The following is a 16,368-nucleotide window of genomic DNA, read 5'->3' as shown; positions in this document are numbered from 1 at the left end:
GAGACATACAACAAGCTTGTCGAACCTGTGGCCCATGGGCTACATGCAGCCCAGGACAGCTTTGAATGCTGCCCAACACAAATCTGTAAACTTGCTTAAAACATAGTTTTTTTGCGATTTTTTTTAAGCTCATCAACTATCGTTGGTATTAGTGTATTTAGTGTGTAACCCAAGACGATTCTTCTTTTTCCAAAAAGAAGGAAGCCAAAAAGATTGGACATCGCTGGCATACAGAGTGACATAATGGACTTCAGAGACTCAGAAGGGGGAGGAGAGTGGGATGGGGGGTAGTGAAAAAAACTACACATTAGGTGCAGTCTACTCGGGTGATGGATGCATTAAAATCTCAGAATTTACCACTATACAATTCATCCATGTAACAAAAAACTACTTTTACCCACAAGCTATTAAAATAAAAATTTTAAAGTAAATAGTCTAAACAAAAAATATAGTTGCATTTATTAATTTCATAAAAATGAAAACTAAATTTTTACAAAAAGAATATGCAGGCCCCTACAGTGATCTACAGAAGCCTTTCCGCCATCCTCCCCGGTTCACTGGGTGTGGCCACGTTGGTCCCCTTGCTATTTTCAGATGCTGAGGGCCTTTGCTTTTGCTTTTCATCTGTCTGCAATGTTTTCTTCCCAGATATATACGTGCTTGTTCATGTACTTCCTTCAGAGCTCTGCTCACATATCACCTTCTTGGTAAATTTCTGTCACTTCTGAGTATTCTTTACTTTTCAGCATGACACTCAGTATCATCTGGCATTATATTGTTCCTCTCCCTGATGAGACATTGTCATCTTTGCATCTGTGTCATGTACACCTCAAACAGAGCCTTGACTACAGTAGGGGATCAATAAATAGGTATTAAATGAACAAATAGGACAAAGATACACAAATATATAAACAAATTCTCTGAAGAGGAAATACAAGTGGGTAACAATTACTGTCTCACAAGTTATCAGGAAAATGCAAATTAAGGCAAAGAAATAGCAATTTTTGTCCGTTAAATTTGCAAGAAATAGAAACAAATAATGATATAATTGGAAAGGGTGGAAAAGTAAATTGGTGTGGTCTTTTGCAAGGCAGTTTTTTTTTGTTTTGTTTTTTGTTTTTTGTTTTTTTTTTTTTGAGACAGGTCTCGCTCTTGTCTCCCAGGCTGGAGTGCAGTGGTATGAACACAGCTCACTGCAGCCTTGACCTCTTGGGCTCAAGCAACCCTCCCACCTCCGCCCCCCCGAGTAGCTGCAACGCAGGCGTAAGCCACCACACCTGGCTAATTTTTGTATTTTTTGTAGAGTTGGGGTTTCTCCATGTTACCTGTGCTGGTCTTAAACTTCTGGGATCAAGCGATCTGCCTGCCTCAGCCTTTCAAAGTGCTGGGTCTCCATGTGTGAGCCACCACCCCTGGCCTTGGAAGGCAATTCAGTATGCAAATACTCACACATGGGCACAGACAGGCATGGGCAAGGGTAGCACCACAGCCCTGTCTGAATAGTGAAAAACCAGAAACAGCCTCAGTGCCTACTGATAGTGGCATTGTTAAATTACAGAACATGTTTGTTTTAATAATAGGCAGCAAGTTTTTAAGAATGAGGAACAGCTACATGCTCTATACTGTGGTTTCATTTGTGTTTCACAAAACACAAGACTAAATTTCTATATTTACAATTACATATGAAAATACCTAGAATAGCCTCCACCCAGAACTTTCATTTTATTTATCATTCACTGGAGACGGATTTGTTGAGCACGTGCTGTGTGTGAGGAGTTATCCCTAGGTGCTAGGAATAGAGCGGTGGGCAAAGTAGGAGAAGCTGCCTGCCATTGTAGAGCTTCTGCCCTCAGAGGAGGAAGCGAACCATGAGTACTATAAGGGAATACTGTGTAGGTCAGGTGGTGAAAGGTACCAGGAAGAGAAGTAAAGCACGGGTAAGAGGGCACTTGAAGCTCGAGTGTCCAGTGGCGCTTTCTGCAGTCCCAGGCACATCCTGTAAATGTGCACTGTTCGGTACTGTAGCCGCCAGCCACCTATAGCTGTTGAGCACTTGAACTGTGACTAGTGCAGTTGAGGAGCTGGATTTTTAATTTTATTTCATTTTAATTCATTTGCATTTAAATTGCCACACATGGTAGACAGTATAGTGACATGGGATGATCAGAGAAGACCTCACTTAACAAAGGGACATTTGAGCTGCAACCAGGGAGCTAATCATGTATTTCAGGCAGAGTGAACAGCAGGACTTTATTTGGGGCAGTCAGAGGCAGAAAAGACAAAGGTAAGAGTGGAAGGAGATTAAGTCAGTGAAACAGATGGGGACCCACCATGGAAGGACTTGCTGGCTAGTGAAAGACATTGCTTATTCTCTACATGAGGTGAGAAGCCATTGCAAAGCTTTGAGCAGACAAGTGTTGTGATCGGAATTTTTAAAGGGGTGCTGGAACTGTTCTGATGTTAAACTATAGGAGTGAGTGCAGAAACAAGAAATCCAGAGGCTACTCTGTCACCCAGGCTAGAGGTGGTGGTGAGTTACTCTCCACTTAGGAGGACAGTGATGGAGGTGTTCAGAAGAGGTCAGATGTGTTGCTAGTATTCACTGATGGATCAGATGAGGGGCCTGAGAGAAAGGGAGGAATCAGGATTTGGGCCTGAGCAAACAAGATAGCACTGGGGAAAGGGAACACTGGGAAGGGAATTCAGGAGTTGTGTTTTGGACATATTAAGTGCCTGTGAATATAAAGAACAAAGTCCTGACCATGAATGACACTGAAACAGCAATGGTAGCTAAAAGATTTCTTCCTAAAGAATTGGATAAAAGAGAAGTGTTCATCGATGGTGTTAGAGTCATTCTCTTTATTTAGAGGCAAAACAGGTGATCTGTCTTTGACCTTTTTAGCATGAAGGTTTTTATATGTCCTTAATTATGCATGGCTCTTAGATTTGAGTGATTATTTCTTATTTCTTCCATAGAATGGCTCCCGAGCGAGTGGCGTCCCTGTCACGAGTTTGTGTCCCACTTATTACCCTGACAGATGTTGACCCCCTGGTGGAGGCTCTCCTCATCTGTCATGGACGTGAACCTCAGGAAATCCTCCAGCCAGAGTTCTTTGAGGCTGTAAACGAGGCCATTTTGCTGTAAGTGGCAAATGTTTCCTGTCATCCTGCGTCGTTTTTCCTTTTCTTAGAAGGCTGTGGTGTGTTGGAAAGACTGTACGACAGCAGTGTCCAAACGTTTTTGTCTCAGTACCCTTTATACTCTTAAAAATTACTGAGTATCCCGGCCAGGTGTGGTGGCTCACACCTGTAATCCCAGCACTTTGGGAGGCCAAGGCGGGTGGATCACCTGAGGTCAGGAGTTTGAGACCAGCCTGGCCAACATGGTGAAACCCTGTCTCTACTAAAAATGCAAAAATTAGTCAAGCATGGTGGTGTGTGCCTCTAATCCCAGCTACTAGGGGGGCTGAGTCAGGAGGATCGCTTCCACCTGGGAGGCGGAGATTGCAGTGAGCCGAGATTGTGCCACTGCACTCCAGCCTGGGCAACAGAGCGAGACTCCATCTCAAAAAAAAAAAAAATTACTGAGGATCCCAAAACATTTTATTTTTTTATTTTTAACTTTTATTTTAGGTTTGGGGGTACATGTGAAGGTTTGTTACATAGGTAAACACATGTCATAGGGTTTTGTTGTACATATTATTTCATCACCCAGGTATTAAGCTCAGTCCCCAGTAGTTACCTTTTCTGCTCCTCTCCCTCCTACCGTTGCTCAGGTAGGCCCCAGCGACTATTGTTTCCTTCTTTGTGTTCATACATTCCCAAGAGTTTTAAAAATCTGTTAAACCCTTATTAATATTTATCATATTTGAAACTAAATTTTTAAAAATGTGTTTGTTACTTAAAAAATAAAAATAATTTTATTACACGTTAACACAAATAGCTTATTTTTATGAAAAGCAATGCTCTTTTCCAAGGCAAAAAAAAAAATGTTTGACAAAAGCAGCATTGTTTTTACATTTTTGCAAGTCTCATTTTCTACCCTAAGACTGCTGAATTCTCATATCTGCTTCTGGTGGGACGTGTTGTTTTGGTTGAAGTGTATGAAGAAAATCCAGCCCCACATAGATAGTAATTGGGAAAGGCGGGAATATTCTAGTAGCCATTGCAGATCATTGTGGATAATTCTGCTTTGATAGCTCACCAAAATTTGAAAATGGTCATTTTTTAAAGGGTAGTTGCAATGTGGAATCTGAAATTATGTCAGTTAACTTTCCATACTCTGTTACATTAGAAACCCATTGGTCTGTCTTGCACTTTCAATGGATCTTTTTTGCCAACACACATAATTTTGTAGCATTATGCATGGTTCATTTGGAAAATCTTCATTCATTGAGTTATGTATATCTTCCAAACATTGACATATTTCATATGCAGTATCAAAACCTATAGTCATTACTGCCACCATGGAGCTCATCAGAAATGACTTTAAGTATTGGGAAGCTGTCAAGCTTATGTTGGTGGACATAGATTTTCCAAGATTCTAATTTCTGCTTAAAAGCTAAAATTTATCATGGGCTACAAACACTGTCAGTCATTTTCCTTAGGGGACTGAGTCACTTTGCTAATTATTGAGAAAGTATGTGCCTAATCCTAAAATGTGACTGACCACTGCCTGTCTGCTAGTCATTCTTTCAGGTCAATTTCCATGACAAAAAGTGGTCAAGTGAGCCCACTGCTGAAAGAGTTGTGCAGGTGTACAAGTGGAGTGCTTTTCTCCAGGCAACCGTCTTTTTTTGTTATGAAGCAGAAGTGCTTTATGCACACTTTCCTTTTCACCGTACAGAATTCTTTTTTAAAAGTATCCTTGAGGGCAACAGTTTAATAAAGTCAGTATGTTAAACTGCTTCATCAGACATTCATATGTGAAAATGCAGTGTTTCGACTGTGTGTGTGTGGTGGTGAAGAGTAGCGTGAGGGCTGTCTCGGCTCTGATTCCCACTGAGACACAGCTGTGTTACCCACTGTTGCTTTTGCGCTATCAGTGCAAATGTCAACACGGTTATTCCAGGAAAAACCAGGAGATTCAAAATAGTTATTCAGTACTTTAAGTATTTCCCTACCACTTGGGTGTGTGGCCAACTTTCATATAAAAGAGCTTCTGTGCTTAAGTTGGTGCTGATACCAGACAAGTACAAGCAATACAGTAAGTCCAGAGATTCTATTGTAAGGCAGAAGTACAGTTCTCTTGGTGACATATTAATTTATCACATCTGCATTTAAATTTTTTTTCTTCAGACTCTGAATGATTGGTCTCAAACTGATGTGGCAGTTAACTTGCACCATAACAGTATTCAAAATATTGTTGCATAAGACACAATAAGGTAAATCATTAACATCTGTAAAGGCAAGGGAAAAATAACTTTCCTCACATTTTTTGTCTTTATTTACAGTTTAGCCCACTTTCTCTGTAGCAGATGTCTCCATCTCATGAGTCAGAGAATTCTCTGATGTGTCAGTTTCATCTTTTCTTTTCTTTTCTTTTTTGAGACAGAGTTTCACTCTTGTTGCCCAGGCTGGAGTACAGTGGTGCAATCTCGGCTCACCGCAACCTCTGCCTTCCGGGTTCAAGTGATTCTCCTGCCTCAGCCTCCCGAGTAGCTGGGATTACAGGCATGCACCATCACGCCCAGCTAATTTTGTGTTTTTAGTAGAGACAGGGTTTTCCATGTTGGTCAGGCTGGTCTCGAAATCCCGACCTCAGGTGATCCACCCACCTCGGCCTCCCAAAGTGCTGGGATTACAGGCGTGAGCCACTGCGCCAGCCAGTTTCATCTTTTCTTGATGAAACATCTGTAGGATGAGAAATTGAATCTTTTAATCCTCATTTTTAAAGCCAGTGATCCATTCTTAAATGCAAGAAAATACATCATAAATAAATGTTACTTTTCAAATAGAATATTGTAAAATTCCAAAATAATAATCTAAAATATATATTAAAATATATAAGTAAAATATACACTGTATATATACATACAAATATATATCTAATAAAATTATCTAAAATAACTTAGATAAAATTTAAAAATTAGAAAAGTTTTCAAAATTAAAAAATATATATTACTACAAAACCCAACAAAGTGTACTTATTTCTTCTTATGTTTCCACGTAGGCCCAAGAAAAATGTAAGAATTTTTTAAATAATGATTTTTTCTTTTAACGCATCTCAGTTCTTCCCTCCCTCTCTGGAAACAGTTCTTTGAACCCCACTTTGAAAATTGTTGCATGGCCTCTGACTACTGCTGTAGTCATGACTCCAAGTTACGAGTGGCTCTGTCTGCAGTGTTTGAAAACACTGTGAATCCACTGTGTGGTATAATTTGCAGAGCCCTCTCCGTCTCAGATAATGAGATCCAAAGCATTCACATTTCCGAATTCAAGGTATACATGCAATGTGATTTTAAAATGATACTTACTGCTTATAAACTTGACATTTTGTTAAGAATACTGTGGTTTTTAAATCATTTTATTAATACTATTTACGTTTTCAATTTTTTTTTTTTTTTTTTTTTTTTTGAGATGGGGTCTCACTCTGTCACATAGGCTGGAGTGCAGTGGTGCAGTCTTGGCTCACTGTAGTCTCAAACTCCCAGGCTCAGGCGATCCTCCCACCTCAGCCTCCTGAGTAGCTGGGACCACAGGTGTGTGCTACCATGCCTGGCTAATTTTTTGTATTTTCGGTAGAGACGGCATTTCACCATGTTGCCTAGGCTGGTCTTGAACTCCTGGGCTCAAGGAGTCTGCCTGTCTTGGCCTCCCAAAATGTTGGGATTATAGGCATGAGCCACTGTGACAGGCCCAATTCTTTATTTAAATACTTTCAGTGAGAAATTGGAGAATTGTTACATATGTAGACCCTTCCTTGCTATACAATGCATTTTAAAAAAACAAAACTACAATACCATTATTACATCTTAAAATTGACATTAGTTCCTTATCATCATCACATATCTAGTCAGGAATTAAATTATCCTGATTGTCTTAGAATTTTTCTTCCAGTTGGTTTGTTAGAATCAGAGTTCAAATAAAAAAAAATAAAGAATCAGAGTTCAGATCTACACATTGCCTTTGGTTTATGGTTCTTTTAAGTCTCTTTCAATCCCTCTTTGTTTTTTGTTTTGAAATTATTTGTTGAAATAATACGGTTGTTTTCCCCGTTCTCCGGTGGTAAAGCATGTCCGCCCTCTTGAGTGTGATAAAGGGTGCGTGCCTCTGGAGCACAGTCCTGTGGGCTTAGGTGGTTCCCTTGTCACATTCTCAGTTCTCACATAGTCAGGCCTGTTTTGTTACCTTCTGTTCTGGTTCTCTGGTCTCTTGCATGTGCGTGCGGCAGTATCACTGCTTTAGTGCTGGCATCAACTGTGTTCAATACAAAATAAGGATCATTCCCTTTGATTTCTCTTCTTTACTAGGGTTGTTATTAGTTTGTTTTGCTATCATTGCTTGTCTTATATTCCACATAAACTTTGAAACCAATTTTTCTAGTTGCAGGGAAGACACCCAGTGTTGTTGGGGGAAGACTCCTGTAAGTATATAGATTATCGAGAGAGCTGGCGTTTTCATGATGTTAAGGCTGTCTGTCCGCCTGTTCAAGAACACATACGTTTTACCATTTGTTAAGCTTTTGTGATCTGAAGGGAGTGTTGTATATATTTTTCACACATTGGATTTACACATTTCTTGTTCCTAATGTTTTGTTGTATTTGTGTTTTCAATGTTTTCACTGTCATAAATGGATCTTCTCCTCCATCTTCAAATAGATTTTCATTGTGTTGTTTGTTGCGTTTGGAAAACAAAACAGGCTCAAAACCACCGTTGTTCTTACAGTTCAGAGTATTTCCATTTTTTAAATCTATAACTCTTAAAAATTAGGATACATATTTTAATTTCAGTTTATATGAAAGGTTATAATCCAGGATTTTGTGAAAGTGAGATTTAAAAAGAGAATTAGAAGATTAAGTCACTTGATTCGAAAAATGGTCAAAATGCAGGTTTCATGGCTAAAAAAATAAAATGGCCTTTTTTCTACCTACTCTTAAACCTTCTGTCAAAATTCACCCAGTAAGTGGAGTGAGCTTTCTGAGGAGTCCGAGCGTTATGTTTGGTCCTTATGTGAGATACTGAGTAAAGGGCGTTGTGAACGTGCGGCGCGGCGCTCGATTCTTTCCTTACAGTGCCCAACACCCGCAATGGAGCACACGCTTCACGGCCCCACCACTGATCACACCAACTGGCATTTTTACTCTCCACGGCGATTTTTCAAAATACTTACAAAGAATATTTAACTAAAATGCTCTTGCCTTTCACTGTGGCAGCTCCCTTCTTGATTCATCTAGGAATATATTTCACAGGAGAATATGGTCTCAGCCACCCCCGTGTCTAGCCTTACTCTTTCAGCAAGAGCTGAATTAAAGGGAATCTGGAAGTGAATACTCCTGGTCTTCTGTGAAACCCCAAAAGCTGTTTGAGAAATCACTGGCCAGGCGACGTGCCCAGAGAACAGCTACTCCTGCTCTAGCACAGTGCTCAGAGGGACGCTGAGGGCAGCGGCTCCCCAAGCAGGCCCACACTCCCTTGCTTGTAATTTTGCTTGTGATAGCATGTTCTCCCTCAACAACTCATAAAATTTATTTGGTTTGGAAAGTTATGTCTGCTAATCCATAAGGGACAGACTGTCCAGAAGTGCTGGGTGGTCTTCAGTGTGTCCAAATCCTGTGGCTTCAGCTCAGCAAGTTCCCCAAGCAGTGGCGTAAGAGCTGGAGCCTCTCCATGGACACTTTCCCGTAGGCGGAACATCCCAGCCACATGTTGACACAGCGAGGCTGATCCAATCAATCAGTGCAAATTACCAGCCGCGCCCAGCCCCCCCTCCCCAGATGTGCTGCGTGGTCATTTGGAAACCACATGCTTTCTTTGACCAATGCACTCTAACCCGTGTTTAGCCTTCCAACTATTTGCTTACCACAGTACACCAGTGGAATTTCATCTGTTTGACAATTGGCTGGTGTCTTTGGTCTTGGCTTCCAAATGCAGTCATATATTTTCAGCAGTGGTCTGCCTGTCTTTTAAACAGCAGATGCTTGCCCCTCTTTATGGTTTAGATAACCTAGAGGAACTTTTAAATTTCTTGGCCTAAATGTCAACTTTTCATGTCTGTCCCTGGGGCTGCCGTCATAGGCACCTGCAGGCTAAAGACGGCATAAAACCTTCCTGGGCGGGCTGCTGAGGTCCTTTTGTAAGTCTGGAGTATAAGTAATACAGCATGACATGTCCTCTGAGGTCATCCGAATCCACTGCTTCAAAAATACTGAGAAGCTTGAAGACTGGATGGAGAATTTGTTCTATATGCCTGAATGAATGAGACACTGAACAAGTGAAAAAAAGAATGAAGGCATGACGGTGATCTCGTGATATAATAAGAAATGTGCATTTGGTCTTCATCCAGGCTCCTAAAACCCTTGAAATTTCCTGAGTGATGAGGTGAGAAGAGCATCTTTTATTATTCATAAGTCCCTTTTCACCACACCTGAGTGTAGGCTAATGAAGTGACTCCTGGTGGGCCCCCAGATAGCCTCGGGATGGGGGCTGGTAGCCAAAGGAACCAACCACACCTGACCCCCAGAGTTCGACCTGATCACTACTGGCCAGCGATTTAATCAGTCGTGCTTACATTGTGAGACCTCCATAAAAAACCTAAACTGTGGGGTTCAAATAGCTTCCAGATTGGTGGTCACATCCAGGTGCTGGGAAGGTGACGTGCCTGGAGAGGGCCTGGAAGCTCAGAACTTTCCCCCAGGCCTGGCCCCATGCATCTCTTCCATGTGGCTGTTCCTGAATTGTATCTTTCAGAATAAATTGGTAATGGCAAGTAAAGTGTCTTCCTGAGTTCTGTGAGCCATTCTAGCAAATTATCAAACCTGAAGAGAGGATCATTGGAACCTCTGATTTTATAGCTAGTTGGTCAGAAGAATGAGAGGCCTAGACCTGTGATTGGCATCTGAAGTGGGGGCAGTCTTGTGGGACTGAGCCCTTAACCTGTGGGGTGTGTGCTAATGCCAGATGGTGTCAGAATTGAATCACTGGACACCCAGTTGGTGTCTAGAGAGTTGGGAGCATTGGTTTGTGTGGAGGAAGAAAATCCACACAGTGAGTGTGAGAAGTGCTCTGTGAGTAAAAACAGCTTCTAAGTAGTGGGAGTGACTGACATACGAGTCTCTGACCACTCTAACACTCGCAGCTCGGGGTGGCTCTGAGTGTTAAATAGGGTGGCCATATGATTTAAAATCTAGACCATGCCACTTCTGAGAGTTAAAAGAGATCCCTTTTATAAGTATAGTGGGATAACAGAAATAAACTTACAAACTAGGACAAATACTTACACTAAGATTTAAATGGGTTGAATGACTGTAATATTCTTAGCACAGTGCCTCGTATCCACAGTAAATACCCCGTAACCATTAGCGTCTACAGCCACTCCACCCTAAATGTGCCCAGTCTTGCCTGATCTCAGAAGCTGAGGGGGGTTGGGCCTGGGGATTAGCGGGTGCTGTAGGCTTTAAAAAATAAAAATAAAAAGACAGGCACAGTGGCACACACCTGTAATCCCAGCTACTCAGGAGGCCAAAGCAGGAGAATCACTTGAGGCCAGGAGTTCAAGTCCAGCCTGGGCAATGTAGCAAGACCCTGGCTCTAAAAAATAAAAACTGTTGGTGGCCGGGCACGGTGGCTCACACCTGTAATCCCAGCACTTTGGAAGGCTGAGGCAGGTGGATCACCTGAGGTCAGGAATTTAAGACCAGCCTGGCCAACGTGGTAAAATCCCATCTCTACTAAAAATACAAAAATTAGCTGGGTGTGATGGCAGGTGCCTGTAGTCCCAGCTACTCAGGAGGCTGAGGCAGGAGAATTGCTTGAACCCGGGAGGCAGAGGTTGTAGTGAGCCGAGATCGTGCCATTGCACTCCAGCCTGGGCGACAAGAGCAAAACTCTGCCTCAAAAAAAAAAAAAAAAAAAAAAAACCCCACAAACTGTTAACATATTACTATTACCATTATTGACTCTAGTAATTGTATTATTTTTGACAATGTGTAGTATTAGGTTTTTGCAAACTCATATTTTTCCCCCTAACAATCACTGAACTAAAACCAGATGTAAGCTTAATTCCCATTGCTGAAAGAGCTAATATGGCTTCCAACAATGCTTAATAAGAAAACAATTCATTATCTATCAGAAGAACCTAATTTATGCTTCTTGACTAACTTATGTATTAGTAGTTTACTCGTCTGTTATGCTCTTGCATATCAAGTTACCCCAAAAAAGGAGCCTAACTAGAATTACTCTTGAGGAGCCACAGATTCTTTTGAATACCCTCAGCATCGCTGTAGCCATTTTACAAATCAGGAAAATGAGACCTCTGGAAATGAAAACGTAAATTAGAAGAAAGGGCCGACCTACAATCAAGATGTTGGGTTTATGTTTTTTTCAACTTAGATAAGGAAAATCCAGATTTAAATGTTGTCAAATCATATAGGTGAGTGTTTAAACAAAGAAAAGTCAGCATAATACCAAGGACAGAAAGGTGGCAAAGAATTAGCAGTAACTAAAACTCCCATTTCTATTAATATTGTTTATCCATGATGGAAACTGAGAGACTTCCTCACATCCTTTTTTTTTTTTTTTTTTTTTTTTTTTTGAGACAGGGTCTCACTCTGTCACCCAGGCTAGAGTGCAGTGGTACAGTCATGTCTCACTGTAGCCTCGACCTCCCAGGCTCAGGTGATTCTTTGACCTCAGCCTCCCGAGTGGCTGGGACTACAGGCATGTGCCACCATGCCTTGCTAATTATTTTGTATTTCTGGTAGAGACTGGGTTTTGCCATATTGCCCAGGCTGGTCTTGAACTCCTGGACTCAAGCAAACCACCCTCCTTGACCTCCCAAAGTGCTGAGACTACAGGCCTGAGACACTGTGCCCAGCCACATCCTGTTTTTTTAACCTTAATAAGATATGGTCACAAATTGAGTCACAGAAAACTTTACTTTTCTAATAAAAAATCTGCTTATATTGACGTGTAATTGCCAGACATTCTGGTGTGTTTGGGTTTGCACATTTCTTCTGCTTGTTGGTGGCTGCCTTTTGAGAAGTGAGCTGCTCTGTACATGCAGATGATAATGATGGCAACTTTTGTCTGAATTATGATGCATTGCTTAGATCAGGCTGTCACCTAAATACAACTTTAGGATCAAACAGTGTTCTTTTCAGTTCCTTGGAAGTAAGCAATTCTCCATAACAGTTAAATCCAAGTTTTGTGAGTTTGTCTGGCAACCCAAACAGCCTTGATCTCTTTCTGGTTTGAAAAGGTGGACTGTTGCCAGTGCACCTTTGTCTTGGCTGAGGAAGCCCTGGCCTCCCCTCTACTGCTCAGACAGCTTTAGAACACAACCTCTCAGATGGGCCTCCCTCATCAAGAACCTTTCTTGTGAAGAATTTAATTCTGCATTCTGGTTTTGTTTTGTTTTGTTTTGTTTTTTTGTAGCTATAAAAATATTTGGAGCCAAAATTATTTAGTAAGCAGTTGGACCAATTTCTTTACCTGCTACCTCTTTTTGTAAAGGATGAGAAAACACAACTGCCTCACTAAACTGAGTATTTGGGGGAAACAAAGTAGAGTTTTCTAAATCTCAAGGAGGTGTCTTTTGGAAGAGTCTGTTGGACAGGGGAGAGCGTCCTGTCCAGGCTTCCCTGGCTCATGGCAGACGCTGTCACTGTAAATCAGATTTCTAGGTGGAGCCCTGACTGGAAGCCTACTGCTCATTATTTTAAAGGAGAAAATAGTAATGTATTACACATAAATTCTAAATGTCCACCCCATTTCCTAAAACATAACTATGATACAGAAAACTCTCCCAATTATTAGGTAGGGATTTGGGGGAGTCAAGTTTTTATCTTACTCTGTTTTCTTGAATTCATGATTTTGGTCAATTCCAGGCAGGATGGATGGAACCATTATAGAGAAGAAAAAGGACAACCTTAGCGTTTCTGTCACTAACGTATTGAACAGAATGAAATTTTTTAGTTTCCCTAAAAACATTTTTTTCTTTTTTACTTTATTGTCCCTTTAAATTTTCCACAGAATGAATGAATATATATATTTATATATATATATATATAAATATATATATATTCATTTTGTCAGGTCAAACAATACAGCACAAGGCATATACAGAAAATGTTCATTACCTCCTCCTCCTCATCCTGCAGTAATTCTGGTAGCCATACCTTATGCTTGTTAAACATAAAGTCCATATAAAGCCATTGTCTGCTCATTGTCAAAACAAAAGCAGCATTACACCATAGCCACATCACTCCAGAGCCTGCTTTTTAACCAGCGTGTCTTAAATACCCCTCGCAGGACACAGATCCAGCTCATTTGAAATAGGGGCATACTCCGTGGCACGAGGCCCACACTCTGTTCCGCCATCCCCGTGGGTGCACACTGCAGTGTTTATAGTTTTGTCCTTATCATATATAAGGATTGCAGTAAATATCCTCAAACTGATGTTTCTATTTCTGCCAGGCAAATTGACAGCAGTACGATGATTAACACGGGGCTGTGTGTCTTGCATTTTCTTCAGTGGCACCACATGACTGGCCATGTGAAGCCAGTGCCTGCCTGCCTGTGAGGAGACGCACCCTCTGCCTACCCCAGCACTGGGTGTTGTCACTCTCCTCAGCGCCTACACGGAGAGGGTGAAACTGAGACCACGTCGGTGCGTTTCCCTTCCTTTACTGTTAATTAGATGGGAGAGCTGCACATTTTTATCGGCCATTTGCAGTTCTTTTTCTGTGATTTGCCTTTTTATTTAAAGCCAGCCTGGTTCAGACCACCAGGTAGAACACAAATATGTTGGCTCGGCCAAATTCTGTTAAGCAAGCATATCAAGATGATACTGCTTCGGCGATTCCTTCATTCAGGGGTGATTACAAAGAGTTAAGTCACTGAGGTTTTAGAGCAAAATCTATCCAAATATTAAACACAGGTCCATAAACATAATCACTCACAGCAATTAGTAGGGTGTGCTCTGAATCAAGGCTCTAATAAAAAGACAGCTATTAACACACATCGTTTTCAAACTAGAATGGGCGCATCACGCACTTTACTGACTGGAGTGTGACTCGTGTGCTTGAGTGACTATGCTAAGCAGGATGGGTCGGTTCTTCATTGGTTCATGTGAATTTGCTGCTGCTCCTGGCGGCCTGGCCTGAGTGCTGCAGCAGCTTCCCCACCACCACCTGGCAGGATGAATGACAAACACCGTGCCATGGCTCTCGGCCAGGATGTGGTACTGGCAGAAGACCTCTCACTGCAGTGAAACGCCTTTCCAGTGACATACAGATTCGTGTTACATGGATCCTGAAAAAAGATAAGGCATGAGGAAAGCTGGTCAAAGCCAGCACTGCTGCTTGAGAAGGGAGGAGCCACTGAGAGGCGAACTCTCCTATTCAGAGCTTCCTGGCTCCATGATGGAAGCTACGAGCACCCTCTCCACACCCAGGGGTGTTCTGCTTCCCCATGATTACTGGACAGGAACCCCTCTCCAGGGCTCCATTGATGTGGCTAGAATTGGCTGACCACCTGGATGGAAAAGCCTTTCCTCTTCACAAGGGGCATAAGCACAGGCACGGCGTCTGGCCCACCCAGTAAAGCTGCCCACTGTTCTGCTGAGCCCAGGCCTGGCTTCTTGCACCCCTCCTCAGAGCCAACGTGGTCCTGTACTCACTCCAACCTCAGCCGCCCTGGCTTCAAGTGTTACCAGCTGCGAGTCCTGGTCCTCTCTGACCTCGGCTGCCTCTTCTGTGCGGGGAGGGGATAATTTTGTACCTGTTTTGTAGGGCTGTTAATGAGGATTCAAGTGCAAGCGAAACAGCATCATTCCAGCCACTGCTTTTCAGCCTTTCCCACTCCTCTGCGCCTTGCCCGTTGGCAGCCTTTCAGGAGCACACTAGGCCCCACCTCTGGGCCGCCGCCTGGGATCACTCCCGTTACCGCCAGTCCTCTGAAGTCCTGTCTGCAGTCCTGGCTTCACCTCCACTCCTCTCCTCTCTCTGCCATGTGCTGCCATCCAGGGCCTGCCCGGCACACTCAGGGTTCATTCGCCCCTTTGTATCTTCTCGTGCTCTGATGACGCGTCCTCTGCTTCTGTGCCTCCTGCCATCTGCAGCTGCTCCTCCTCCCCTGCCTGCCTCCACACTCAGAGCTTCCTCCCTTGGGGTTCTGACACCCAAATGTGTACCTTCAGCCAATTCCTCTCCCGGAGCTTCCACCTTGGATATTCAAGGACCTATTGAATATCTCTGCTTGGTTGTGCCTCAGACACTCCAAATCCACACACCTCAAACTGATCTCTTAGTAAATCCTCCAGAAATCATTTCTTCTCTTCTTTTCATCTGAGGAAATGGCATGTCCAGTATTGAGGGGGTGTGGCACCATGGCAGGGCTTTGCCAGGTGTGGGAGGTGGGGAGATGAGGAACGGGGCCTGCCGGTGGGTCCTGGACAAATTGAAGCTCAGGGTGTGAGCGTGAGATCAGGAGGCTCTGAGGTGAATGTACCCTCCCTCCCTTCTCCCTTCCCCCTGCCTTCTGCCAGCTCCTCCGCAGTCTCCCCGGGTCTTCAGCCTCTTCCCTGCTGCTCTTGCCCCACGGTCAACCCTGGACAAGGTCTGCAGGAGCTACACCAAGCAAGCAGAAAAAGTGAAACCTCTAGGAACTGCTCTCCCCATGTCCCTTCCTGTCCCTGGACCCAGTTGCTGGGCTTCACACCAGCTCTGCAGAGAAGTGGCCCAAAAGTCATGGTGAAGGGACAGGCCTTGAAGGGGTTGTTGGGTCGGTGGGAGGCTTACGCCCCCACTTTAGTTTTCCTTATTAATAGCAGTAGCCTTGTTTTTCTTGGGGCAAGACAGGAGGGAGATTAATGAATAGACATCAAGTTTGAAAAGCACCCACTGGGAAGCACCCACTGTCTGGGATGTGCAGGTAAAGGGCAGGTGGCTCTCGGGGGCAGCTCTACTGTATCCCAGAGCCAGCAGTTGGGGCTCAGAGACAGACATGTGCCCCTCATGCTCCCTCCAGGGAGGGGAAGTGGAGCCCCAATTCACTGACACAAGAGGACCTTAATATATGTTCCTTTAGAAACAAATGTAGCTACACAAAATGGTTGTGTCTGGGGAGTAGTGGGGCTCAGGCCTGTATTCCCAACATTTTGGGAGGCCAAGGCAGGAAGATTGTTTGAGGCCAGGAGTTCAAGACCAA

General features: G+C 43.0%; 2 protein-coding genes and 1 pseudogene across 23 annotated transcripts in view, besides 3 other annotated features; 2 read left to right on the top strand and 1 right to left on the bottom strand.

Annotated features, from left to right (window-relative positions):
* The window catches only part of FANCC (FA complementation group C), a 218,656-nt gene that overhangs the window by 164,646 nt on the left and 37,642 nt on the right, over positions 1-16,368 (top strand). For 16 of the 22 annotated variants that reach the window (NM_000136.3, NM_001243743.2, XM_024447451.2 and 13 more), the window contains one exon: positions 2,977-3,141. The exons of 5 other annotated variants lie outside the window; for them this stretch is intronic. In NM_000136.3, the coding sequence (NP_000127.2) occupies positions 2,977-3,141 (165 nt within the window). Of the gene's footprint in view, positions 1-2,976; positions 3,142-9,127; positions 9,541-16,368 lie in introns of those variants that run through there. One more of the 22 variants, XM_005251802.4, reaches the window with a different exon arrangement.
* The window catches only part of AOPEP (aminopeptidase O (putative)), a 423,526-nt gene continuing 409,997 nt past the window's right edge, over positions 2,840-16,368 (bottom strand). The window contains exon 16 of the mRNA XM_011519121.4: positions 2,840-5,853. Coding sequence (XP_011517423.1) covers positions 5,761-5,853 — 93 coding nt within the window. The 3' untranslated portion in view covers positions 2,840-5,760. The remainder of the gene's footprint in view (positions 5,854-16,368) is intronic.
* Positions 10,523-10,615, top strand: RNA5SP288 (RNA, 5S ribosomal pseudogene 288; annotated as a pseudogene).
* Positions 14,145-14,314: an enhancer, noted in NCBI's record as "experimental_110500 CRE fragment used in MPRA reporter constructs". NCBI's record gives its function as "activates a minimal promoter by MPRAs in K562 erythroleukemia cells, with activity observed for both the introgressed and non-introgressed 9:97901117 variant alleles {active_cell/tissue: K562}" and the evidence as "EXISTENCE:reporter gene assay evidence [ECO:0000049][PMID:34662402]".
* Positions 14,145-14,894: a biological region, named in NCBI's record as "H3K27ac-H3K4me1 hESC enhancer GRCh37_chr9:97900452-97901082".
* Positions 14,264-14,894: an enhancer, noted in NCBI's record as "H3K27ac-H3K4me1 hESC enhancer chr9:97900452-97901082 (GRCh37/hg19 assembly coordinates)". NCBI's record gives its function as "activates a minimal SCP1, AML or CMV promoter by ChIP-STARR-seq in primed H9 embryonic stem cells {active_cell/tissue: H9 hESC(primed)}" and the evidence as "EXISTENCE:reporter gene assay evidence [ECO:0000049][PMID:30033119]".

This window comes from Homo sapiens, chromosome 9, assembly GCF_000001405.40.
Source record: "Homo sapiens chromosome 9, GRCh38.p14 Primary Assembly".
NCBI lineage: Eukaryota > Metazoa > Chordata > Mammalia > Primates > Hominidae > Homo > Homo sapiens.
Note: the sequence above shows the minus strand (reverse complement) of the source record. Positions and strands in the feature narration are given on the sequence as shown.